Raw genomic sequence first — 27,575 nt, 5'->3', positions numbered from 1 at the left:
TACAATGTAAAGATTCCAGGTTTGCTTGGGAGAAAGTAAGGATTGAAGAAATGCTAAAGGAAGGAAGAAAGGGTGGAAAAAAAAGGGAAGGAGGAAAAATAGGAGGGAGATGGAGAAGAAGGAAGGAAAGAAGAAAAGAAGGAAGGGAAAGGGAAGGGGAAGGGGAAGGGAAGGGGAAGGGAAGGGAAGGGAAGGGGAAGGGAAGGGAAGGGGAAGGGAAGGGGAAGGGAAGGGGAAGGGAAGGGAAGGGAAGGGAAGGGAAGGGAAGGGAAGGGAAGGGAAGGGAAGGGAAGGGAAGGGAAGGGGAGGGCCAAGACTACTAATTACGCCTTTAAGTATCCTTTACAGATTCTGATATATAGTATTTTTATTACCACTAATTTTAAAGATAATTTTTGTTTCTTTTTCTCTTTTCTACAGTTGTTTAACATGATGATTTCTTAATTTCAGGTGAAAAGCCTTCTCTTACTGTTCTTCTAAATTTCTAGTTTTATTGTATTTTGATGAGGGAACACTATTTGTAATAAAGTACTTAAATGGAACTTAATAGTGTTTTCTTTGAGGCCAATCAATATATGATTGACTTTTGTCAATGTTCCATGTATGCTTGAGAAAATGGCATATTATGAGGGTGTAGTGTTTGATCCATATCCCAAAAATGTATCTTATTTAATCTATTCTTTATGTTATTTATTATTGTGTAGATTTTGTTATATTTACTGTGTTTTTCTATGTAGCATGTTTTCTTTGGTAGGTTTTTCTTTTACTATCTAGAAAGATTTGCACTTTTATTATAGTTTTTAACCTCAATATTTAAAAATTTTATTATGCTTTTACTCCTTTTTTTCCAGTTAACGTTTTGAAAATTTTAAATAAAATCTGTTACTTCCACTTATTCCCTAAAGTGCATTACGATATCCTATTTTCCCCTACTTTCCCCTTTTCCTTTGATTTTTTAATACCATTCTTTCATTTTTAGAACACATGATGATTTCATATTATTATCTAATCCATGTCTCCAACTTTGCTTACTATTAGATATTTTGCCAAAGATTCTCCTGTTATCTTTTGGTTGAATGAAGCTCATTCTGTAATAAACCCTGTTTGGTAATACTTTACTATGTTCTAATATGCTGACGGATTAAATATGAAAGGACATTTAAGATTTTTGGATATTCATATCCAAAAGAATTTTGTAAAAGAATTCAATTATCACTTAATAAGTATTTTTATTACCACTACTAAAGTGATATTGAATGTTTTTTCTTTTTTTGTATGTGATTTCATTTTCAGCCATTCTTTTGGGAATTACTCTAGCTCTTCAGAATTAATTGGGTAACTTTTATGAAATGTCTTAATCATTTGGCCTACTCTTTCCTGAAATTAAGAAAACAGGCAGGAGATAACATTATTAATTTGTTTGTAAACAAATAACATTTTTTGTCATATTGGACATATATTTAATTGTCTTCTATTTCTTCTTGGGTCAATTTTAATGATGGGATGTTTTCCTTGATAATAATTCATGCCATACGTTTCTTTCAAATAATTACGATAAAGTTGTACTTACTGTTCCATCATGCTTGTGAAAATTTTTCTTAATTGTGGTGTACACATGTTTTTGATACTTTTATTTATGCATTTCATTTTCCAAAACCAGACATGCCCAAGGCTTGTTTTTGTTTTATATCTTTTCAAAGAACTGTTTTTTCCCTTCAATTAACCCTATTGATTTATGAATTCTAAAATACAGATTTTAATGCATTTTAACTCAAGCTTTAATGGCTTCATATTTTGTTTATTGAGTTGAAGGCTTGATTCATTATTTTAATTTAGTAATTAAGTAGAGTTTAAAGATGAACACGTTTCTGTAAGCAAAGTTTTAAAAACAATTTACATGTAGTGCTTTTGTTATCATTATTTTCTAAATAGTCTATACTTTTAGTTTTTATTTCCTCTTTGCTCTAGGAACAGTGTATGAGAGTTTTTGCTCATTTGCTATTTTTACTTCCAAGTGGTTTGAGATTTTGTCTTTGTTTAAAATGTTATTCATCTTAATTTTATTGTGTTTTAATCTGGTAATTTGTTAGGTATTACTTATGTTGTATATAAATTTTGGAGTTGGAGGCACATGATGTATTATCAATTTTTGTAATTAACCTATGGGTCTTCAGTGTCTATAGGACACAAATTTATATAAAATATATATTAATTGTACTATTTATATTATATTTAATAGAGTTGTAAAATGTTATCCTTTCAGTCTTCTCTATCAAAACTCACATGTTGATGGTCCATGATTCATAAGTAACTTACAGATGTGGTTATGTTCAACCACAGTTTTAAAATACTTCAGCCAGAATTCAAAATTAGTAGAGTCTACATAGAAATTCAAACTTACAATTTCATGTGAAAATTGCTGGAGTCTGTTTCAAGCAACTTGTTGAATTTGAGAGACAGTGCCCCCTTGGAAAGTTCATGAGATCTTCAATTCACTTTAGCTCTCACAATTCAAGCACATTGTGTGCATAGGTACTATACCCAACTTTACTTTTATACCTTAACAGCCTGATCTCTATTAGGTATTTGAATTTATTATCCTTCATTTCTTCTCTTGGTTTATTAGTCTAACTGATCAGCACGGCAGATTACATAAGATAGCCACAAAGTTCTTCCTATTCTGGTATTCCTGCCCCTTTGCAATGTACTGTTCAGCTCTTCCAACAATTGGTGCAGTCTATTTCCCTATCCTTTAACTTTGGGATTAGCCAGGAACTTGCTTTGATCAATGGGAGAAAAGCAATGTGATACAAACAGAGCATTGGAGGGCTGGCACAATGGCTTGCCATCTATCTTGCTGTGCCAGGAACCCTGGATCACCATGTGAATGAGTCCTAATTTGCTCGCTGAAGAGTGAGGAGCCATGCAGAAGATAACAGAAGTGCTGCTACTGAGTCACAACAGCAACTTGGCAATGAAATATTATGCTTCCTGCTGAGCTAATACCCTGCTCTTTTCTGCAGTTTGTACCCTTCCAAATTAGGACAATTAATGGATTTTGTCAGGGTCACGTGAAAAACAGAAATTTCTTAGGAGTGTGCTTTTTTGAAATCTGCCAATTCCTGGTTCATGGAGGGTACCCTTACTTAATTTAGAGTACTGTTGTAAAATTTCCTCTAATTTTCTATTTATTTGTCATATCATATGAGATCTAAAAAATGGAAGGTAAAGGTAGATGCTTATGTTTTCTTCAACATCTTAAGTAAATAGATATTTCAAAAATTTTAAAAATTTCTTTAATGGAATCATTTTAAAATATCTTCCAAGCTCAGTAGAAAATAAATATTTCGACAGGGCTTACACATGATAAATCAGTGAATATTATTTTCAAGTACTTATAATGTTATTCATTTCCCAAGTTTTAGGTATTAAAAATGTGGGAAAAGGAATTTTCTAACTTGGATTCCCAATGAAATGCAGTAATTTAAATTATGTTAGTGTATTTAGCTGAACATGGAAGTTGGGCCAATATAAAAACAAAACATAAAAGTGAAACTTTTATATACCACAGAATGGCTAATAAGTTTACCATTTACAAAACATAGGGAAGCAAAACTAAGATGAAAAATAAATAAGTTTAAACACTGAACTGTAAAAACTATGTATGAATATATTCTAGTTTTTAAAGGGTCAAATTACATAAAATCAGCCTATTTTCTTCCTGCAGGTAAAAGAAATGCCCAAAATATCACTGGCTTAAAAATCAACATGAAAGAAGTTCCCTGGCTGACTATCCCAGGTTTATCACGCTTCCAGAGCTAAGAACCAAACTTATTTTACTTATTTTCTCTTGTTGCTCTGTGCTCCTCAGTACATAGCTTCCAACTCATGTCTTTAGAGGGCTGCTTGAACACAAGTCATCCTATTAACATTCCAGCCAGAAGAAAGGAGGAAGATAAGAATAAGAATAAAAATCCTTCCTTTAAGAACATTTCTCAGAGGCATCACATGATATTTCTGCTTAAATATCATTGGCTACAATTTAGTCACATGACCACACTAGCTAAGGAGAGAAACTGGGAAATTCATATTGTGGGAAGTCTGTATCTGGCTATTATGATTCAGGAGCTGTATTACTAAGAAAGGAGAGAACAGATATTTATAAACAATGAACAGTCATCGCTACATTTCCTCATATGTAAACACTGTTTTGAGATTGAAAAAGTTCTTTTAGACTCTTTTCTATTTTTACATATACATAGGTATGTACATTTTTTCCATAAACCTTATCATAATGTAATGTAATCTTAGAGAAATACATGTTTATCCCTACCCAATCTTTCTAAATACTGCACAGAATTTTGAGCAATAATTATTTTTGTCACTTTTGTATTTTTAACACATTGATAGCACATGAATAGATGCTCAATAAGTGTTTATTGATTATGAAGGTACTCTAATTTACATATTTTCGCTTTGAAGGACTTTTTTGAATGTTTCCTTTTTCTTACCTATTATAATTAATAGATGTTTGATCTTGCAATTTGAGTATATTCATTTGAAAAGTGTTTCTTGGGTTTTGCCACACTGATGTTTCTCAAAATTAGTATGTTTCATTATTTCAATAGATTTTTTTCTCTGACAGCACAATAGTGACAAAAACATCATGATTAGTTTAGTTTATGTGTGATAAGCCTTATTGCTACACTGTTTCTCAGAAACCACGTGCTATTCCTTCTCCTAGCTCCCTCTTTAGCAGGCCTCCAAGTCTACTCACATGCTGATCTCCTTTTAAAGTCCTTATAGGAACAATTTAGTTTTCACTAGTCTCTGAACCAGCTTTTATCTTCCAGCCTGATTTGTTTTCACTAGTCTCTGAACCAGCTTTTATCTTCCAGCCTGATTATATATACTGAAAAATACCTAGTTTTCCTTTTCTAATGTATTTTCACCTGAGTTTGTGACATTGCCTCCCTAGAGTTTACAGTTATCCTTCATTTCTCTGTTTTTCTGTATCTCTCCTATGGGACTTATCCCATAATATCTGTTTTATATTCTCAATTTCAATATAAACTTCTTGATATAGGTATTTTATCTTCGTAGTCTTCTGTCTCCCTAAATATTTTCACATTGCTTTGCCCACAGTCATTTTCCAAAAATGTTCTCCAAGAAAGATGTCTCTCTCTCTCTCTCAACTTACTTGCTCTGCTTGTTCTTTGCAATTTGGTAGTAATAAGTGCTTTTATATAACCTTCAATTCCAGCATTCAAGGAATAGATTCTTGGCTATATACTGCCTGAAAAAAAAAAGTCTCTCCCATTTTGTCATTGACTTAAAGGTTTTTTTTCCATATGAAGCTCTTAGCCAGGCACTCTGACCTTGGTAGCTTGGATTCTAATATTTTCAGCCCACATGTGTGGGATAAACCTCCATTTATGCCAGCTGTGCTGCAACCCTGCTCATGATGTATCACCACTTTCCTTTCGCTGAGGCCAAATCTAAGACTCAGACAAGGTAAATAGCTTGCCTGAGATTATAGGTGAACAAATTGTGGAGTTGGCCATGTCCCCTATAATATGCTTGATAAATTTGATTAACTTTTTGCCTTATGGTTTCTGTATAATCTCTTCCTTCTAATTACTTCCCCAGTATTTATTCATTGCTCTATTTTTTTCAGCACATATGTCCTTTTTAATTCTTACTCTTATTTTTCTGAGTTCTGATTTATACCTAAGCAATACTCATACTAGGGAAGTAGGAGAAAGAGATTTCACAGAGATGGTGGTAAGTGTATATGTATATAATTGAACATATAAGGCATTATAGGGAATTATGTAAATTAGAGTTGAAGGAAAACTATTGGAGGGTTATAGGGAGAGTGTAATACGATCTGACATTTTAAAACAATCACTTTGGCTGCTCTGTTAAAAATAGATTTTTTAACAGAAATAGGAAAAAGAGCAGTAGCTTGGTGAGCAGTTAAAGGGCCATTGAAATAGTCCTAAAGAGAGAAAAATAGTGGCTTTCGAGTGGTGAGAAGTGATCGTATTTATATTTATGGTATATTTCAGATTTACAGCCAGACAAATTTGCTGATGCATTGTATATAAGGCGTGACAGAGAGAAGAGAATTCAAGGACAACTCAAAGGTTTTGCACTGAGTAACTTGAAAATTGGAGTTGCCATACACTACAACAGACAAGGATGGGGGAAAGGGGTGAAATCAGAAATTCAGTTTTGAACACTTAATGTTTGAGGTACCCATTAGAAATGGAAAATGCTGAAGGCATTGTGAGGAATAAAAGCCTGTAGTTCAGGTGAGAGGTCTGGGTTAAAGAAACAATTGGGGAAGTGGTCTACTTATAGATGATAATTGAATCCATAAGATGGGATGAGTCCACCAAAAGTTGAAGTATAGATAGTAAAGCAAGTGGTGGATATGTGTTGATCTCTTCTCTCTCTCTCTCTGTCTCTGTCTCTGTCGTTCTGTCTCTCTCTTCTCTATAGAGCTGCTTAGCTCTTGAAGAACAAGAACTCTGTGTTCTATACTTTATGTATTCTCCAAAATTCCACCTACACATTAGGCCCCAATAAATGCTTATTGAATGCTAAGTGGGGGAAAAAGTTACCAGTTATAAATTACAGTAGCATTAGAAGAGGCTTAACAATATATATTGTTTCTATAATTCCCAAGAGGTAATGCTATATCTTTGAAGAAACAGACCATCAGAAAGAGTTTTCCAGTCATGTAGAGACTTCTTCAATTTTCTAAGAGGCCATCTGAAGGCTGCTTATGGGCAAAGAATACAGGAGCAATCGCTGACTGAAATGCCCAAACTGCAAATACACATTTCAGTCAAATGCAAATCAAGGATAAAAGAACTAGAATTGAGTGAATTTTTATCTTCATTATAGTAAAATTTTCAATCATTGTAGAATTCACTTAATGTAGCTATTATATAGATGTTTTAGGAGCTCTGGAGGGGAGGGGAATGTAAGCTCTTTGTTAATAAGAAGATAACTAGCTCCCAGAAACAGTTTGTCTCTATGAGAAGTAAATCAATTCTGGCTGTTCTCCTAGTGATTCTGTGCAGTATCAAATGAAATATAAAATGAGTAGGAGAGACACTCAGATGTCCTCACACTGCTAGAGGGAGCCTCTGAAGCCAAACTGCAGTCATCTCCTACCTGGACACAGCTGAGCCTTGTTAGGTCTCCGGATTTTTTTTTGTTCTTAGTTAAGAAAACCTTTACTTATTTTAAAGCCTGCCATTACAAAATTACCAAATTACAAAAAGAAAACTCAGGATCATTGAGACTTAGAACAACTGAAATCTGAAGTACCCAAATGGCAGGCAAGAGTAAGTCCGCAGTTATCTTTCAAGGTATGGCTCGTGGCTCTGCTTCCAAATATTCATTCTGAATATTTGTATGTCAAGTTAAAAAAAATCCTTTAAATGAGGTTGGAACATTGATTGCTAGAGTGAGTGAATATTTAAAGGTTCCATTTGTGGTTTTAATGTTGTACTAAAGGATGTTTCCATTTCTCTTTAATATTAAAATTAACCTTTTCATTTAGTAAAGTATTCACCATTGCAAAAAAAGAGAAAGAGGAAATATATTATATATTGCATCAACTACCTTTCTAGGCTATAATAAATTTTTATTATTCTCTTTTACTTGTAGCATATTTCTCTATGTTTATAATTTCCAGACTAACGTAGACTAGAACTGGCATGTTAAATAAAAATGACCAAGCAATCTAAACACAATACCTCACAATTATGCCCATAGAACATAGAGAATTTCATATCCGAAATGTCTTTAAAAGTTATTTATAGTATCCTCACCCAAATCTGTAACCTCTTATATGCTTGGATGTTATCTTACTCATTAATTTTATCTCCAAACCATGATCAGGGATAGATGAAATTCTAGGTAACAAATGGAATTTCAATAGCCAACCGTGGATTTCAGGATTTATCTATCCTTAAGTTGTCAGATTTTCTCATCACAGCTTCAGCTGGATAAGCTGTAACCCACCAAATCTTTTTATTTGTAATATTTTACTGAAGTTTTGTTTGTCCTTGTCTATAAGTTCTCCTTAAATCTAAGAGCCATTCCTGGATGGTATCATTCCCTTTGGCAAATGTTCACTCTCTGTTCTTTAGTTTTGATTCAAGACTTATTATTCACCACTTATCTGCGCTTGCCATCTATTAGGCCAAGTACTTAATGATTCAAGTTCTTTATCTGATTGAATTGCTCCTTGCTGTTTGCAATGTCTGCCAATTAAATATCACCTGCAAATTTAGAAAATTGCTCCTACAGCCATTCACTAAGTCATTTGCATCTACATAATTTATTTCCTTTCACAGATCTCTCGTTATCCTTTTCCTTCATTAGTGTTAAAATCCTTCCTTATCAACAACAAATATTTTTGGCCATGTTTTCCTCTTGTACTTATATACAAACAGGTTGTATGATCTCCCATATCTATATTTTAGTTTCATCCTATATGCATATCCAGTGGATTTTGAACACTTACCATTCAGACGTGCAAACATGTATTCTTATGACCACATGTATTTTTTTTAACTTCCTGCCTGTGTACAGCTGACATACTCTGGGAAACTCAATCTGTCTATTATTACTTGTTTAATCTCATGTAAGAATGAAAGTCTTAGCCACTGTCCAATTTAAAGTCTCTATAAGGGCTTCCCTTCTTTTTACGTATTTTACTCTGGTCCCCTTTGCAAAGCTATCTCCTCATTTCACAAGGCCTGCAAGCATTTATCACTGGGCAGTCACTGGCAGGTGTGTTGTAGCAGGGAGGTTCTTCTTCGGTGGGCAAAGTTTTCTTGGCCCATACATATATTTTCAAGGCTGGTTTGCAGTAATGAAAATATGTAAGACTCTTTTGTGTGATCATGGAACATTTTTGATGGCTTTCAGGCACCCAGCTGAGAACCCTTCTTCATTCACAAGCGTTGCTCCTCATAACAGGACCTTCTCCTGATCCCAGTGGGTGGTGGGCTCTCCCTGCACAAGGAGGCCATTTCCTCTGGTCTTTGTCCTTGCCAGCTCTTCCTCCTTCTCTAGACTGTGGGAATCTTAGGTGTTCTTGCCACCCTAAGTTTGACTACCTAGGAAATGGTGGGTCAGAATGGTGGGAATTGTGCCTCCCTGCAGCATGTTCTGCTGGCATAGAGAGATAGGCTCGACTTTATGGGAAGAATGCCTGATCCTTCCCAACTGCCCCTGGCATGCCCCTCTCCAGTGTGGGTGGAAAAGGGGACAACTCATCACATTCTCAGGTTCTCTGAACTCTCTTCCCAAAGTTAACCCTCTCCTCCCTCTAGTTTTTAAATTATTTCCCCTCGCAGCAAAAATAATTAACACCTGTTCTCCTTACCCATGCTCAGGTGGAACAATTTAGGACCTTAAATAATCATTCTGTGCATGATCTTCCTATTAATCCAACATTCCCAATGAAGTTTTTATAATGGAAGTGATGGAAATACCTATGTTTCCTAAACTTTTAGAAATTCTCAACATTATTCACTTGGGTTCCAGATGCTCACTGACTAATTGTTCCTAGACAATTCCATGAGAATGTTCCTCAGGTACCACAAAATCAAAATGCCTATAGCCAAATTCTGTGTCCCTGTTGCCCTTTTCCAATCTGCTTTTCCTTCTGCATCCCCTATTTTTGTTGTGGAGTGTCCATCTGCTCATTTTCCTCTGCTAAATTTCTCACCAAGTCTCAACCCTTCCTTCTTTTCTCCTCCAAGTTATCAATTTCTATTATTATGCCATAGAATGTGGAAGTCAGTGTGGCGATTCCTCAGGGATCTAGAACTAGAAATACCATTTGACCCAGCCATCACATTACTGGGTATATACCCAAAGGATTGTAAATCATGCTGCTATAAAGACACATGCACACATATGTTTATAGCTGCACTCTTCACAATAGCAAAGACTTGGAACCAACCCAAATGTCCAACAACGATAGACTGGATTAAGAAAATGTGGCACATATACACCATGGAATACTATGCAGCCATAAAAAATGATGAATTCATGTCCTTTGTAGGGACATGAATGAAAGTGGAAACCATCATTCTCAGCAAACTATCACAAGGACAAAAAACCAAACACCGCATATTCTCACTCATAGGTGGGAATTGAACAATGAGAACACATGGACACGGGAAGGGGAACATCACACTCCGGGGACTATTGTGGGGTGGGGGATGGGGGGAGGGATAGCATTAGGAGATATACCTAATGCTAAATGACAAGTTAATGGGTGCAGCACACCAACATGGCACATGTATACATATGTAACAAACTTGCACATTGTGCACATGTACCCTAAAACTTAAAGTATAATAATAATAAAATAAAATAAAGAATATTAACTTTCCTCAGACTCATTCTTTTTGTTAGTCTCCTGTTACTGTTGTTTTAATGTAGACATTCCATTATTCCTCCCTAGATTGTTGAAAAAGCCATTTGTTTTTTTCTCTTCCTCACTCCAATGCATTCTCAGGCCTACCTCAGCTATCTTTCTTAAACGTAAGTTAAATCACATTTTTCTCTTTTGTAAAACTCTTTTATAATTTGTACTGGCTAAATGATAAAGTGCAAACTATTTATCAAGGCAAACATGCTTTTATAATTATCCCTATTGTTGCCTCTTATACTCCTACTCATCTGAAGACCTAGCTTAAATTTCTCCTCTTCTGTGAAATCTTTTCAACTCCCCAGGCAGAAGCTGCCATTCGGCCCCTGGGTTGCCATGGCACCCTGTATGTATTACCCTATGGCATTTTTCACACTGTGTTTTAATTATTTATCTACACATTTGTTTTTCGTGTGCACTTAGAGATCTTTGAAGGCCGAGGAAAAGTATCTTCCACTCCTTTGTATCTATGATGCCAGGCACAGTGCCCAGAATACAACATGCATTCAAAAACATGTGCAGATAAATGGATGAATTTAGGGCATTCTGCTGTGTGCTTGGCATACAAAGTAAACATAACCTTAGTCTTCTGATTTCCAAAACAGGGACTATGCAAAAAGAAGGTCTCTCTCTCCCTCCATCTCTCTCGTTCTCTCTTCCTGAGATTGTATATATGCCCATTTATAGATATAGATGTAGATATATATAGATAGATGTGTAACATTACACAAAGGTAATTTGAAAAGAAGTGGAATAGGTGTTCTCAGAGGACGAGATTACTAAGAGATGGGAGTAGTTTGAAAGCCTTATGGGACAAAGTGCAAGTTTAGCTAGGGTTGAGAAATGAAGTGAGTACAGGCAGTCTAGGCAGATTAAAGCTGAATGTCATCTAAATGGAGTGTGATTAAATGCAAGAGGGAAGTGAGATATAGACTGTACAGTATATTGCAGTCCTTTCTAAAAGTTTTAATTTTTTATGGAAAGAAGACACAGGTGTTTGAGAAAGAAGTGTGAATTTCGAGAAGTTTAGAAATGCAAATCTTTTACATCTCACCCCAAATCTTTCTCTATGTAATCTTATGTTTTGTCTTCTACTCATACTCTGTCTGAACTCCTATCTGAACCTTCTTCAAATATGCAGGTTTAAAAAAAAACAGCTCTGAACTGTTTGAGTATTGTTTTTCTCACTGACATGTAACTGGGTTTATTTAAATGCTTTGCAGACAAAACTGTTTTTCTCTGGAAACTGGTAAAGGAGTTAAGCACTTGGATGCTGGAGCCAAACTTCCTGAATTTGAATAATTAATTCTCTACAACTTGGCTATGTGACTATGGGCAAGTTACTTCACCTCTCTCTGTTTCATCATCTACAACATTGAGATAATAGTAGTACTTATCATTGTGAGTACTGAGAGGTAATAAATACATAGTATGTGAGACTGTGTCAGGAATAAGTAAGCTCTATATCAGTGCTAGTATAGTTGTTATTTGGTCAGTTTCAAGCTATGCTTTTAAATTCCTTGTGGGTTTTGTGTTAATTGCAGTGTTGTCAAATCTATTATTGATGACAAGTATGTCATCAAATTCTGGTGATGTTCTACTTTATTATGAAATACAACATATAAAATAATTCCAAGCATATATAACACATTTACATTATTTTGTAAAATAAAATATATATCAATCATATTTCATAAACTTAACTTTCTAAAAAATGATTAACTGCCCTTCTCCATTGCAATATATTTGCTTTCGGATTTATACTGCCTACTAGTTTCTCCTTTTGAAACTCTAAGTTCATATCTTTTATATCTATCCAGTGGGGTCTTAGTATTTTCTTGTTGATTTTTACTTCATGTAGCAGTGAAGCGGTGACACAAACAAGTCACCATTACACTTTTACAAATATTTTCTAGCATTTTGTTTGTAGTTTAATTTAGTTCATTATGATTTTGTATTACTGTCGATTTAAATTTTTGTGTACATGTAACTATTGATAGTTTCCTGTAACTTATTCTATTGTTTTTAAGCCCCTGAAGGATATCTTTTGTTTTTCCTGTTTGGTATCTACTTCCCCTTCCTCTGATAACAGCATCCTACTTTTCCTTGGGATTCACTACTCCCCGAGGCTTGCTCTAGGTGTTTTGCGTGTAGCTACCCCTACTCTCAGTGCTCCACCTGGGCAAGTGGTGTAGGCCTGGCATTGAGAACACTGCCTCCTCTTGAACACAATACTTCATAGTCAGAGCCAGTGAATGTTAAAGCTGAGGCTCTGTATTGGAACTGCAGGTAAAAGAGAATCTATGTTTATGTTGGGATAGATAAGAGGATGAAATCTAAGCCTAAGAGCTACTAAAAGTCACTTTACTGCCAAGAGAGGAGAGCCTGCCTGAGAACTGGGGCAACACACACACAAAAAAATCACAGCTGAGAGATGGAGCAAGCGATACCAAAGCCTGATGAAAGGAGCCTGGATCTCATCCCTGAATAGGCCAGTTTTGTGAGAATTAAATTATCTTTTCACTTCAATTGGATTGTCATTTGCAACCAAAGACACCTAATTAATTTAGCTTAGAATACATGAGCAGGTTATTTTCAAGATAGAGAATACCTTTTTTAAGAAATGGGGAAGGAGCAAAGAATTTGAAAGAGACTGAAAATAAAAGAGAAGTAGGGATAAAGAAAGGTAGAGGGGCAATTTAAACTTCATCTATATGCAGACTGGCCTCAAATGCATGTGTCCATTCCATATCCTTACCCGAACTCCAGACTCATATATCAGATTACTTATTTCATTTTCCATTTGGATAGCTCCAAAGAGGTATATCCATAGTTGTTAAGAGAATGGAATCAAACAATTTAAGCTAATATCCTGGTTCTTCCAGTTATTGGCTATGTGACCTTGAGCAAGGTATTTAAATTCTCTAAGCCTTGATGTCTTAAATCTACATAATGGGCATATTAACTATCTATTTCATCAAATTAGTAAGAGCATGTAAGGAGTCAATACCTGTAAAGCTTTAGAATAGCATCTGGGTATTATTACTGATTTCTAAAATAGTAGTTTTGATTCCGCATTCTGCAACTCCTGGCCAAATATTTCCTTCATTCATTTCTTCTGTGCCAATAAATGGTACCATTCTCAATTAACTTGAAGTAAAGTGAGAGTAGCTGAATATAACAAGCTGTTTAATTAATGGACAAAATATTTAAAATAATAGGAACAAAAGCTCAAAGTGTAGTCTTTCAACAAAGATAAAAACATTTTATATAAAGTCCAAATTTAGTAGGCTATAGTAGGTTAATTGATTTTATTAAAGAGCAATGAGATCCCATTGAATGGTTATTAATTAGGGGAGTGTTATTACCTAATGTATGCCATGTGGCCACCATTCATTCTTTTATGTACAAATATTTTCTAGATATTGAGGCTTCAGTAGTAAACCAAATATATGAAATCTCAGACCAACTTCAGCTTACATTTTACCAGAGGAAGACAAATGAACAAGTCAGTACATAATAAAATAATTGTAAGTGTTATAAAAAACAATAAAACAGAATAAGAGAGATAGGTAGTACAAAGGATGGAAGTTGTTCTTTTGAAGAGGGTGGCAATGGCAGTCCTCTCTAATAAGCTTTAAGCAAATGCTGAAAAAAAAATGAGGTGGACAGAGAAATATCATTTTAGGCAGATAGGAGAGACAGAAATTGAAAAGGCCAAGTTCAATGAGTATAAGGAAGTACAAGGGGTACCATAAGCTTGGAGCATGGTGACAGAGGGAGAGATAAAGAGATCACAAAGGGAATTGATTGGGCAGATTATGTAGACAATTTTAAGGACAGTTTTTACTCTGAGTGGGATGGAAACCCATCAAAAGTCTTCTAGCAGGAAAATGACTGGATCACTCTGGCTGCTGTGTTAAAATATATTGAAGGCAGTCAAGAGTGGAAAGGGAGAGTAATTGGACCTCTACGGCTACAATCCAGAGAAGAGATAATTGTGGCTAGGAACAAGATAGTGAGTGGAGCTGGGGAAAATGGAAATAAAGGCTGTTTTTTTTTGTTTTTGTTTTTGTTTTCTGCTGCTGTGGCTGAAAAGACAAAATTAAAAAGGGATGAGTTTAGAAGAGATTGTTGGCTTTGGTCTTTTTTAAATTTTTTTTATATATTTTTATTATACTTTAAGTTCTAGGGTACATGTGCACAATGTGCAGGTTTGTTACATATGTATACATGTGCCATGTTGGTGTGCTGCAACCATTAACTCGACATTTACATTAGGTATATCTCCTTAGGGACATGGATGAAGCTGGAAACCATTATTCTCGGCTTTGGTCTTTCTCTCACTTCCCCACAGCAAATCCTATCAGACTACCTTCCAAATATGTGTTGGATCTGTTACATTTTTAAAACACAGAACCTGAGGAAGTTTTACCAATCTATCCGAGTCAACAAATACAACAAGATCTATTTGTTTTTCCTGCAACACATTCTTGAATTCATTTTCTTGGTTCATCTTCACAATAGCTTCATTCCACTGATGTGGACATTGTGACTCAGAGAGGATTCAAAACTCTTTTAGGCTCACATGGGTATTAAATGTGTCAACAGTATCCATAACTAATGCCTTTGATGTCACTAAAGATGAGAGAATCATGGAAGGATTTTGAGGTTGAATATCAAGAACACAAGGGACTTACGCTAGATTCTCACAGCTTTTGCAGTAAACCATAGAGTTTAACAACTGAACATGACGAGGGTGTAAAAAATGAAGGGACTAGAAATTGAGGCTTGAAAAGTGTGGAAAATGTTTGGAATGGTCATGTGGGATTTAAATAAAAGGTCAATACCTAACGAATTAAAGGACACTGGAAAATCAATGAAAGTTCTATTGACATTAGCTACTAGGGTATTGAAATGAACTCCATCAGCCAAGTGTCATGACTAGCTACATCAATAACCCAGTGTGCGGGATCCTAGACAATAGGAGTGGGGATGAGCACAGGAGGCATAGAAAAAGAGCAAGAGCTTGAGCATGGCTTGGGCAAAAAATATACTTGTTTTGAGCTGACATGGCGTGGGAATTCTCTTCCATCATTTTCACTATTTATTAGGGGCCATGGAATTTTGCCTTTCTTAGATACTCAAGGAACCTGTTTTTTGTTATTTATTAATGAGACTCTATTCATGCTATCTCCATTCTTGTTTTGTTTTGTTTTATGTTGTCAATTACATGTGCTTTCTGAGGTCTCATCACCTCCACCAGACAAACCTCACAATAGCATCTTCTTCTCCTTCTCTGAAAACTTTGAGACCTGGCTAAATGTTTCTCTTCACACAAAAACTGACCAACCTCCTAATATATTTCAGAATCAATGTAGATATTCCTTACAACAATCATTTTGGGTCATGATTCAGATAGATATTATTTTCTAAAGCAGTTTTAGGTTTTCAGAAAAATTGAGCAGAAAGTGTGAATAATTTACCCTATTATTACTATGTTGCATTGGTGAGGTACATTTGTTACAGTTAATGAACCTTACAATCATTATTGGAGACGGATCTCACTCTGTCATCCAGGCTAGAGTGCGGTGGTGCTATCACAGCTCACTGCAGCCTCAAACTCTTGAGCTAAAGGGATCCTCCCACCTCAGCCTCCTCAACAGCTCGGACTAGAGCCATGCACCACCATGTCTAGCTAATTTTTTTTAATGTTTATTTTTTTAGAGGTGGAGGTCTCTCTATGTTGCTCAGATTGGTGTCAAACTCCTGGCCTCAAGGGATCCTCCCATCTTGGCCTCCCAAAGTGTTGGGATTACAGGCATGAGCCACCTTGCCTGGCCAATGAACCAATATCAATACATGATTATTAACTAGGGTGTACAGTTTACATTAGAGTTCATTCTTTCTATGGGTTTTGACAAGTGTATAATGTCAGCAGTGTATCCATCATTAGAGTATCATCCAAAATAGTTTTATTGCCCTGAAAATCCCCTATGCTTCATCTATTCATCCCTCCCTCCCTCACTCCATTTTGAGCTATTTTAAACTCATTTCTTTTGTTTTCTCTAACACTCTGCCATGAACCTCAAGGTCAAATTCTAGAACTTTCGTATTTCAGTCTCTGGTTATGTCTTTCTAACCTACTCTTTCATTTCTTCACTCATACTTCACCTGTTTTTCAACTTCATTTGATCTTCTAATTAACATTTCCAAAATTTTATCCAAGTTTATGTCTCTGATCATGGCTATGCTTCCTTAATCATTTTAGCTCTTCTTTCATCTCATTTAATTCCCTTACCAAGTTTATCCACCATGTCTCAACCTTGATATGAACATTTTCATCTCTGCTCCTAGACTTGGGCACTCAATCTCAGCTGAAGAAAGTCACACTGTTGTGTAAACTAGCAGCAATAAAAAAGTGTCAGTTTCATATAAACCTCCACTCAGTCTTTAGTGCCACTGATCTATTCTTTTATCTGTTCTGATTTAGCAGTCACTTTCCCTTTCCTCAATGTCTATTTCAATCTTCACCACTCTCCTGTAGACTGTTACATAATACATGTCCCCATCACTGTCAACATACGTAATCTCCAATTTTTATCAATAAATTTGAAGGAATAAGAAAGTATCTTTGTCAATTTTCCATTCTCTTGCCTATCTATTATTAACATACACATTCTCATTATATTATATTCAGTATCAAAGTAACATCTTTACCTCATTAAAATCAATTTTCAGTTTAATCATTTTTGATGGAGTTGAATCTGTTCCAGGATATTTATCCTTCACATATTAACTGACTTTCTTATATTACATTTTCCTTCTTTCTTTTTCTTCCTTAGCTTATAATTTTACTCAAGTCTCTGTTTTAACTTAAAAACAAACAAAAACTCTACCAAAACCAATGACCCTTCCAATTATTATCTCTTTCTTCCCCTCTCCATCTAAAATTTCTGAAAAAATAATACATATGCATGTCATTTTCACCTTTTCACATCCAAGTTTTTCCATCATCTTTTGCAGTCTGGCTTTTTCTCCCACTATGCTACCAAAAGAGTTCTGGCTTGGGTAACCAACAACTCCCAAATGGCCAATCTAGTGAACATTTGGCAGTTCTTATCATCAACATCTCAAATAGTTCTGACATTGCTAGTCATAGCTTATTTTTTGAAACTTTCTTATTTTTTTTCATAAATTCTTCTTATTTTGTCAATTCTTAAGTGACAGCTTTCTCTGGGTTTCATCCTAAGATTAGCCCAGTGATCCTCTTACTCCATGTGTTCTTTTTGGCAATCTGATGTACTTTCATGATTTCAACTACCACCCACAGGTTGCTGACTCCCAAATGTATACCTCCTATGGCACTTTCACAGTGAGCTTCAGAATGCTACATATCCAACTCACCCTATTCTAAACTGTCCTCCTCCTCTAAATCTTTTTCAGCAATCTCTGTCCCAATTAGTTACACAACCACCCTTTTATGTATTTGTACTATGAACTGATGAATTATTCCAGACTTCTCCCTTCTCCTCACTTTAGCCAATAAATTCTGTTTATCCTACCTCCTTTTTATCTCTGATTTCCTGTCTTTCATTCTCTTCACAACATTAGTATGGTAGGATAGATTCTCATCACTTTTTGCTTGGAGAGCTGCAAAATTCTCATAAATTTTGGCCTGCTTTCCATGCTGTTTCTAACCTTTCTACCTTTACTTCTACTCTTGTGTCTGTCAGTAGACGTCCTTCACTTTCTGCCAATCCCTCTTTACCTAGATAATTACTACCTGTTATTTTGTCATCAGGCTATATTTCTCCTCCTTCAGGAAATTTACCTTTACTCTACCTTCCTTGTTGCTTTCTTAGTGCTTCTCTATCATTGCACCTAGTGCATTGTATTATAAGTGTCTAGTTTAACCTCTGTGTTTCTCATTAAGACAAGATCTCTTCAAGGGCAAGAACCATGTTTTATTTATCTTTGTATCTCCAGTGCCTAGCACAGTGCATAGCACATAGAGACCATCAACAAAATGTTTTCATGATCAATGTCTATGTCTTATTCACACTTGCATCCCTCCATAGCACTTTGACCATGGCATGTGATTAACACATGTTAAGTGGCATATGTTTTGAAATATTTATAGGCAGGGCGCAGTGGCTCATGCCAGTAATTCTAGCAGTTTAGGATGCTGAGGCGGGCAGATCACCTGAGGTCAGGAGTTCAGGACCATCCTGGCCAACATGGCGAAACTCTGTCTCTACTAAAAATACAAAAATTAGCCGGGTATGGTGGTGGGTGCGTGTAATCACAGCTACTTGGGAGGCTGAGGCAGGAGAGTCGCTTGAACCCAGGAGGCGGAGGTTGCAGCAAGCCGAGATTGCGCCACTGAACTCCAGCCTGGGCAACAGAGTGGGACTCCATCTCTAAATAAATAAATAAAATAATAAAATAAAATATTTATAAAGCCTCCCGGTAAATATATGCTTTCTATTGTTAATGCATTGATGAACTAAAATACCCATCATAGGAATTCATTTACCTAGTAAAACTAAAGAATTGCCAAACTTTGTGTCAACCATAAAAATTAGGAAAGCTGTGTAGTCCCAAGCAGCTGATTTACTCTGTTTAGTCTTGGGAGCATTTTCTTTCTCAGAAAATGACATTATTGGCATTATAATTACTAAATAGTATCTTATTATACTCCAATATTATATGTCTACTTTCAAAAACATTCTTTACTCTCATGAAACCACGTGGGTGGGCACAGTGACAAGAAAAGCCTAGTGTTATACTAGAAGTTTAGAAATTGAGAGATAGGACTCTCAATGGTGCTATATTTTAACATGGAAACATCACTATTAATACTTACATGCTAAGTATAGTACTTTATCCTAATTTTACAGATTTATAATTTAGTCCACTTATTCCTCCTTTTTTTCCATTTTCCTGGGTTCTGGCTTTCTTCCATTGTTGGATCTATTTTCCTTGGGGAGTAAAATTCTTGTCATATAATTTAGCATTTGATAATCAGTTAGCATGAAGAGATTTAATTTCCAGGTGGTGGAAACGCTCAGGTAAAATTAGGCTGAAGGAACAGATTATTTTTAAATCCAAAACGACCAGTCATGTTCTTTATATAAAATAAATCTTCCATTGTAATAACCATCAAGCTTTTTTCTTCATATAAACCCCAAAGGAATTTTTTAAGTATGTATCTTTCTACATTTATAATTGACATATTAATTTTGCAATCATTTAGAAAATTGTAAAGGGCGCAATTTGCAGACAGTACTGATCATTACCTGTTTTCTCTTAAACCTATACATACCATTTTCTACTCTGCTATATACTGTGAGCCTTATAGGGATGGGAATCTGCAAACCAGATTTCCCAGGCTCCTTTGCCATCTGGCTTCTCCATAATTTCCACCTGAGGGAAACCACTGAAGATATCAGACAGAAAAAGAAAGAGAAGAGCCGTCTGCTTTAAATGGTTATTTCAGTGGCTGCAGCAGCAGTGGCAGTAGGCGATTCTTGATCCCAGCAGCTAGGGCACGGGCAGCAACTTTTTGGCAATTCCAGGTCTGATCAAGGGGCATACGTCTGGCAGATACAATCAACTGACACATCAGTAACACTTGATATCTGTGTTTTACTTTTTCTTTTTGCTTTTCCAATGTCCTACTCTGTTCATCCTTTGCTCTTTGATTCCTTCTAGCGCCTTTGTGATCAACCCACAATATTAAATTCTCCTCTTTTCAAAATTTTAGGAATGGTTTTCATTTTCCTGAGTGGGCGTCGGCACTGACATATGTATATTGTGTTGTAAATATTGATAACTTAAAATAATATTGTCAAGTCACTTTTAAAAATATATCTGTTAGAATCTAAATATCATAGTGATTTGACCTCATGCTTTAATAGGTAGAATATTTATATCATTTTATTTTATGCTTGAACTATATTTATATTCCGCCCCACCCTCACACAATTGTAATTCAAGTACAATAGAAATGTGTGTTTGAAAGTCTTTTCTTGATCACCAAAGTATTTTTGCATCAAAAATATGCATACAAATTAAAATTACAATCCTTTTTAAATAACCAGTGACTATAAAGTTTTAGGTATAAAATCTTTTTTTCTGAATTGAGTCATGATTCAATTAGTATACGATCTATGGATTCAGTGTCTATAAAAATGAAGTTTTACTACAAATGCAGCTTACAATGTTATGGATAGAGCCTTTTAAAAAAATAATTTAGATATCCATGGGTCAGTACTAATTATGGTTTAAATGAGGTAGAGTTTAGCATTAAGATTTAATTTCTGTATTTTTTTACTTTATAGAAATCTTTTCCAAACAAATTAATATATGAAAAAGGAAGTTTTTAGTTTCTATTTCAAAATGTCACTCAACACCTTGAAATTTTTCTGTGCTGAATATACTGGCTTGCCCTTGGAAAGTCTTCTAATACCCCTAAATACTCCACTTTAAAAGCTTCTGACTTGAAAGCCAGCCAAAGAAGAAACTATATCATCAAACATCCAACTGTATCTAATTCAGAGTTATCTTTGTTTTTAATTTTTTTGGTACTTCTATCCTAAACTTGATATACTTTTTATTTCTTATTGAAAGTTCTCTGTGGGCCTCTCTTCCCTTCTAAACTAGGAGAAAATAATTTCTCAGTTACATTAACTCACCCTTAAATATTTCTCCTGTACTAGGCAGAAGATATCTCTCATTTATCTGTTTCATATCTTTTGGCCAGATTTGTGTTTTCATAAATTTTAAGAACACATTAATTGCAGAAAATTATAAGAGTAGTGAGGCAGAGAAGGACTTGAGGAGACTTTACTATATTATTAGTTTTTAAATAGACTCCATATGTACATCATATCAATCATTTTCTCTCTCTCTCTGACTGCATTTTCCTCTCTTAAAAGTATGTATGTACTGGACCACTGACTTCTGGTTTTAATGAGAAAGCTCTCTAACATGAGATCTAATCACTGTGGAATAATCATATGAATTCAGAGCTCACTTTCCAACATTTCTTCTTTGACTCTTCTTTAATGTGATGGTACGTGCATAATCATTATGATATATATAATTGCACTATGTGAAACATTCTTTTAAGTTTGGTAGCCCCTTAGAAAGGCACACGAGTTAATCCTGTTAATTTTAAAATTCTTACTGTCTTGTACAGAGATATTTAGTGGCAACATTTATTTAAAATATACTTAGATTCACAAAAGTATGTATATTATCAGAAGATATAATAACAATAATAAGCTTGCTTTTCTGGAGCTCCATCATAACATTTTTATGCCATTTCAACGGTGTAATTTTGGTTTATAGGGGTAAATACACCTCATAAAGTTTGAATATGATGAATTTTCTTGGAAAGCTAAATTATTTTATGGTATTTTATTAAAGTATCATTATGTAATTGAATTAACATTTGTAATTGTTAAAAATTATAACTTACATCTCTACTGATAACAGTCAGAATACAGTTAAGGGAATGTTGTGTACCCTTAACTTGATAGTCATTTTCTAATGTTGACTGCTCTTTCCTTCTTGAAATGTTATTTTCTGTTGGCATTCATGACAACCCATTTTCTCAATTTTCTTTTAATCTCTCTATCTACTCCAACTAAGTCTTTTTTGTAGGTTTCTTCTCCTCCACCTGCTTAATAGTTTTCCTGAAGCCTAGTCAGAGTGACTAAATATCCGGTTGAACAAAATAAAAACCTAGTTCCAATGAATAATTTTATATTTTTTCTGTCTAAAAATCATATGTCTGCTTCTTTAAGCCTCAATTTTTTATTTGCAAAAGGACTCCCTCTAAACTATAAATTATCATACAATAATGACATGCTCTTACATGCAAATAGTACATTGAAATTGATTGTTTATGAAGAACATTCTATTTCTTGTGTATGATTGCTATACGATAAACTTATATTTTCAAAACATAGTATTTGGAAGTGATCTTACCATTAACATACTTGGACTCCTCATTTTTATAGGTGAAAAAGTAAGTCTCCAAAATTAAACTAACTAGTGTAAGCACATAAAACAAATTAAAAACAACATCAACATACTAATTTGAATGCTTTTTATGTTTAATTTGCATCTAGCAAGTGTAGTTTATTAGCATAATAACTCATTAAGGATTTTAACCACTATCTATATAGAATAAATTTGTATAATGCCTTTTCTTTACACTAATTTTAACGTAATTGCTAATCTGGGTTCAGATCAGGAAACAGCCCTTAGAAAGATAAAGGTGGAACACTGAATTTGTGACTTTTAAAAGAATAGAAGATGAAGGGGCACGGTTTTAATAAGAAGGAAGAGGACTGACGATTGCCCATTTTGTATTAAAAATAACGATATTAATGCTTTCCAATACAATTCTATATGTAACTTATGTATTAAATAGACCAAATTCATTAGGATTTTATAGAATATAGAAATAGCTTTATTATTTTCCCTACCACTGCCTTAAGAAACCTTTTATTTCTACTCTTCTCCATTCCTTACAAACAATTTAGGTTAGATCCTCTAGCCTTCTGAGTACTTTAAAGCATTTGAGAAATTATTCCAATTCTAGCAATGATGTACTAGCTTTTATTGGACTAGCCCTATCAGAATAAAAATTAAAAATTCAGGATCAAATTGAAAAAAATATATAGAAAAGACTGGAGAGCAACCCAAAGCAGGCAGAAACTGCAGGGTACCCTTGAAAATAATAACTGCACGGGGTAGAGCCCTCCTTTATTAGGCTTAGTCATTGAGGACCCACTTCAGTTCAGCGGGGATGGGGTCGACAGAGCTCAAGTAGAAAGTCAGTCTTATTAACTAACTTGTCAGAGGATGGAGTTTGAATCAGCTAGGGTTGCCAGAAATTGAAAAGGGAAACACAAGAAGGAGGATGCCACAGAGGAGTGAGCCCCAAAATCTGTGTATAAACTTTCTAAAATCCTTAGCTGACCCCTAAACTGCACATATATGGGAGAGATCCTAGGAAAATTAGCAAAGAGTAATGGCTAGAAGGCTAAACGTGCTAAAGAGGGGATTACAACTGTTGCCTATGACAGGGAAGATACAGATTGAATTTTGAGTTCCTTTAAGTCAGAAGGGCTTGAGGAGAACCACAGGCTTTCCCCAGAAACTCCAGAAGGTTATATCTTAGAAATATGTGGACTACGAAAACCAAGGGATTTGCCCTAGGGACCAAGATTACATCAAATAGACCTGCCTTAACAATGTTTAAAGCTAAATCTCCACAAATTCAAGAGAACAGATAGTGATTTAACTATCCACTGAAGCAAAAATCAATCCTTTTCAGAATATACAATTTCAGAGACATAATCCCAAGTCTTAACAATGTATCAACCACGAAGTCCAATATATAATCAAATGTAACCAGAAATGTGAGGAACCAGGAAAATGCAATGTATTCTGAGATGATAAGATGTTGAAATTTTAGCAAACAAGGACTTTAAAGAAGCCATTATAAATGTGATCATGAACTTTTAAGAAAAGAAAGTCATAACTGATAAAAAGATAGGAAATCTCAGCAGAAAAGTAAAAATTATTTCAAAAAATTGAAATTCTGGAAAGAAAAAATAAGCAATCTAGAATGAAAAAGCTACTGAAAGGACTTAACAAAAATTTGAAGGTGGCAGAATATCAGTAAACTTGAAGGCAGATCAAGACAAATTGTCAAATCTGAAGGTCAGGGAGTAAAAATATCTTAATAAAACAAGCAAGGCCTCAGTGACTTAGGAGACAACATTAAGTGATCTAACTTGAATATTCTCTGAGCCTCAAATCAAGAAGAGAAAGGAAAGAAGGTAAAAAAAATTGAAGAAATAATTCTCTATATTTACTAAATGTAACCTATCCCAGAAGTTTAGTGAACTCTCAGCACAATAAATGCAAAGAAAATCATATCTAGAACATCATAATTAAATTTCTAAACACCAAAAAATGAAGAGAAACTTGTAGAATGGCCACTAACACATACAAAAATATACTACATATAAAGAATCAGGATACAGATGATGGCTAATTTCTCATCAGAAATAATATATGGCAAAACTGATAGAATCACAACTTTAAAATGATGAACATTAAAAAACCCTGTAAATTCAGAGTTTGATATCCAGTAAGAATATCATTTTGAAATGAGGGTTAAAAAAGACATTTCAAGGTAAACAAAAGTTGAGAGTATATGCTACCTACGTAGCCCTGCACTTCAAGACACTCTAAAGAAAGTTCTTCAGGTTGAAGGTAAATTATACCAAATGGGAGCTCAAATATATGTAAGGAATAAAGAGCCCCAGACACGGTAGATAAGTGATTATATCCCAGCAACTGTCTTTTTTTTTTTCTTTCTGTACCTTTAAAAGACAATAAATATTTAAATAAAAAACTATGATATTTGGTATGAGGTTAATAAAATATAAATATGTGAACACAATATCAAAAAGGAGTGAGTACAAATAAAATTATATTGCTGAAAATTTATTACTTTTTATGTGAAGTAGTACAATATTAACTTAAGATAGAATGTAGTAAGTTAAGAAGGCATATTATGACCTTTAGACTAACCACGAACAAAAATACAAAGGGAGACAACTAAAAAGGCAGTAAGAGCAATAAAATCAAATACTGAAATATATTTAATTAACCCCAAGAAAAACAGGAAAAGAAGCAACAGAGAAAAAAATGGTATACATATAAACCAAACAGTAAGTTATAAACCTAAACCCAACTATTCAATAATTTATCAGGAAAATGTAATAATTATAAATGTCTATGTGCCTAATAACAGAGCCTCAAAAAACTGAAGCAGATTCTGACAGGACTAAAGAAGGACATAGAGGTTTTAAACACCTTTCTGAGAATTGAAAGAACAAAGAAAAATATATACATATGTACATACCTATCTTGATTAGATTACAGAATGAAATGATTAGTTTCTAAGCAGTGAATGTTTTAATTTTTTCCAATAACATCACATTTTTAAAAAGAAAACAATAGTCCATCCTGGCTAACATGGTGAAACCCCGTCTCTACTAAAAATACAAAAAAATTAGCTGGGCGTGGGGGCGGGCGCCTGTAGTCCAGCTACTCGGGAGGCTGAGGCAGGAGAATGGCGCGAACCTAGGAGGCGGAGCTTGCAGTGAGCCGAGATCCAGCCACTGCACTCCAGCCTGGAGGACAGAGTGAGACTCTGTCTCAAAAAAAAAAAAAAAAAAAAAAAAAAAAAGAAAGAAAAAAAATAGTACAAATTGCATGTGTAACTTACATTGTGATTTCATCACGTATCATATACACTTTCTGTTTTTGGGGTATAAGTTGAGCAAAGAAAAGGTCTTCTTCTAAACCCTTTTCTATTACAGGATATATTTTAACATTTAGGTTTATTTTGTCAACTACTTTTCTTTCCACAAAGTTCATAAAATAGTATTGAGTGAGACTTTTGTACTCAATTCCACCACCTAATGCTTAACCAACCTAAATACATCACACTTATTTTATATGAAATCAGCTTCAAGGTGTTACTGTTGAACCTTTAGGTATGAGACAAATAATTGAACCTTTAAGTATGAGACAAATAAATAAAGTAATTCTTACCTTAAAGACAAGTTCTCCTACCAAGCCATTCCATGTCCCATCTTCTTGTGGGCTTCCGTATTTGTGATCCGGTGCTACGTAAATTTCGTAGTTAAAACCCAGGTAGTTAGATAAGGCATCCAAAACATCAATGGAGAAGCCCTGGTATTTCTTCGGCTTACCCAAGACATTTTCAGAGACCATCACAAAAGGTTCTTCCTACATGGAAATAAGAGAAATTTCTGATGTCAATCTATAGTGCTCCCTAAAAGCAAAGATTAATTCTTTAAAGAGTTTTGATTAAATCTAAAAATTGTTTTATACTTTGAAAGAATCAACTCAGGAATATAACTTATGCATTATTAACGCATCATATTATTTAACAATGCTTAATCATTCAATTTCTTATCATCTCCCTTTTAATTATTACCATATCAAAAATTAGATAAAAGTAACTAAAAAACTTAGGGTCCATGAATTTATTTTTCCTGTCCTCGGAGGACCAATCTGAGACTCCTTAATAATAAATCATTCAACAAACTATAAATTTATCGTATCTATTCTCAGGAATTTATTGTTTGTAAACCATGTAAATTACATCCAATAAAATTTTAACAGCTATAATCTACATAAAACAATCTGAAAAGATAAAAAAATTCTAAGAACATATAATTTAGCTGAAATTAATAATATCGCATTTACTGGGAGTTATTCACTAAGTAATTTTGTGACTTTGATATAAACACACATTTCATTGGAAAAATAGCTTCTTTATGACTGATATGAGAAATTCACTTACCTTTTCAATAAACTGTCTAATTTAGTAAATTTAGCAAATTGGTTTCTGCTTCCACCTCTTTTATCTTTTCCCATTTTTGTCTTTTTAAAGCTAACAAATAGGCCCCTTTCACTTCTGAGAACACCTGGTGTTAAGAAAGCTCGATTGATTTGAAACATGCTGGCAGACTACAGAAAACTAGATAATCTATTCCTTAATTTTCTACATTTGTTCAGAAATCTTTCAGCAACAGTAATATTTACAGATAACCATTCATGGTGTATGTAGTCCATCCAGCCCTCTGGGCAGGCTAAAATTTCTCCTTGTATATAAGCCAGAATAGCCAAAGGTTTTTTTTTTTTTTTGAATGATTTTTCCTCAGAGATTCACAAAATAGCCTTCATAATGCTTTCATTTTGGCTTTTATTCAAAGACACTGTAAGTAGCTTATAAAATCACTGCACCTGTTATAGGAATATTGTCAACTATAATATACAATTTTCTCCCTAAAAATTGCTATGAGATAAATTTTGTAATTGTTCAGGGTCAAAGAGCTTCATTTGCCTCAGTAGTGCCTTTTTCAAAATGATAAAAAACAATGTAACCAATTATTGAGGTATTTCTTTTCATTTTGGATATTCAGAAAATCAGTACTAAGTTTGATGTTCATCTATAACTATGTTGATATTGTGG

The 27,575-nt window shown here is 34.4% G+C and overlaps 1 protein-coding gene across 18 annotated transcripts in view; it reads right to left on the bottom strand.

The window, feature by feature from the left end:
* Positions 1 to 27,575, bottom strand: part of GRID2 (glutamate ionotropic receptor delta type subunit 2) — a 1,506,491-nt gene that overhangs the window by 361,363 nt on the left and 1,117,553 nt on the right. For 17 of the 18 annotated variants that reach the window (NM_001440459.1, XM_024454024.2, NM_001510.4 and 14 more), the window contains one exon: positions 26,126 to 26,323. In NM_001440459.1, the coding sequence (NP_001427388.1) occupies positions 26,126 to 26,323 (198 nt within the window). Of the gene's footprint in view, positions 1 to 19,380; positions 19,456 to 26,125; positions 26,324 to 27,575 lie in introns of those variants that run through there. The other variant, XM_017008127.2, reaches the window with a different exon arrangement.

This window comes from Homo sapiens, chromosome 4 (genome assembly GCF_000001405.40).
Source record: "Homo sapiens chromosome 4, GRCh38.p14 Primary Assembly".
In the NCBI taxonomy this organism is placed as follows: domain Eukaryota; kingdom Metazoa; phylum Chordata; class Mammalia; order Primates; family Hominidae; genus Homo; species Homo sapiens.
The sequence above is the reverse complement of the archived record's forward strand: the minus strand, read 5'-3'. Positions and strand labels throughout refer to the sequence as shown.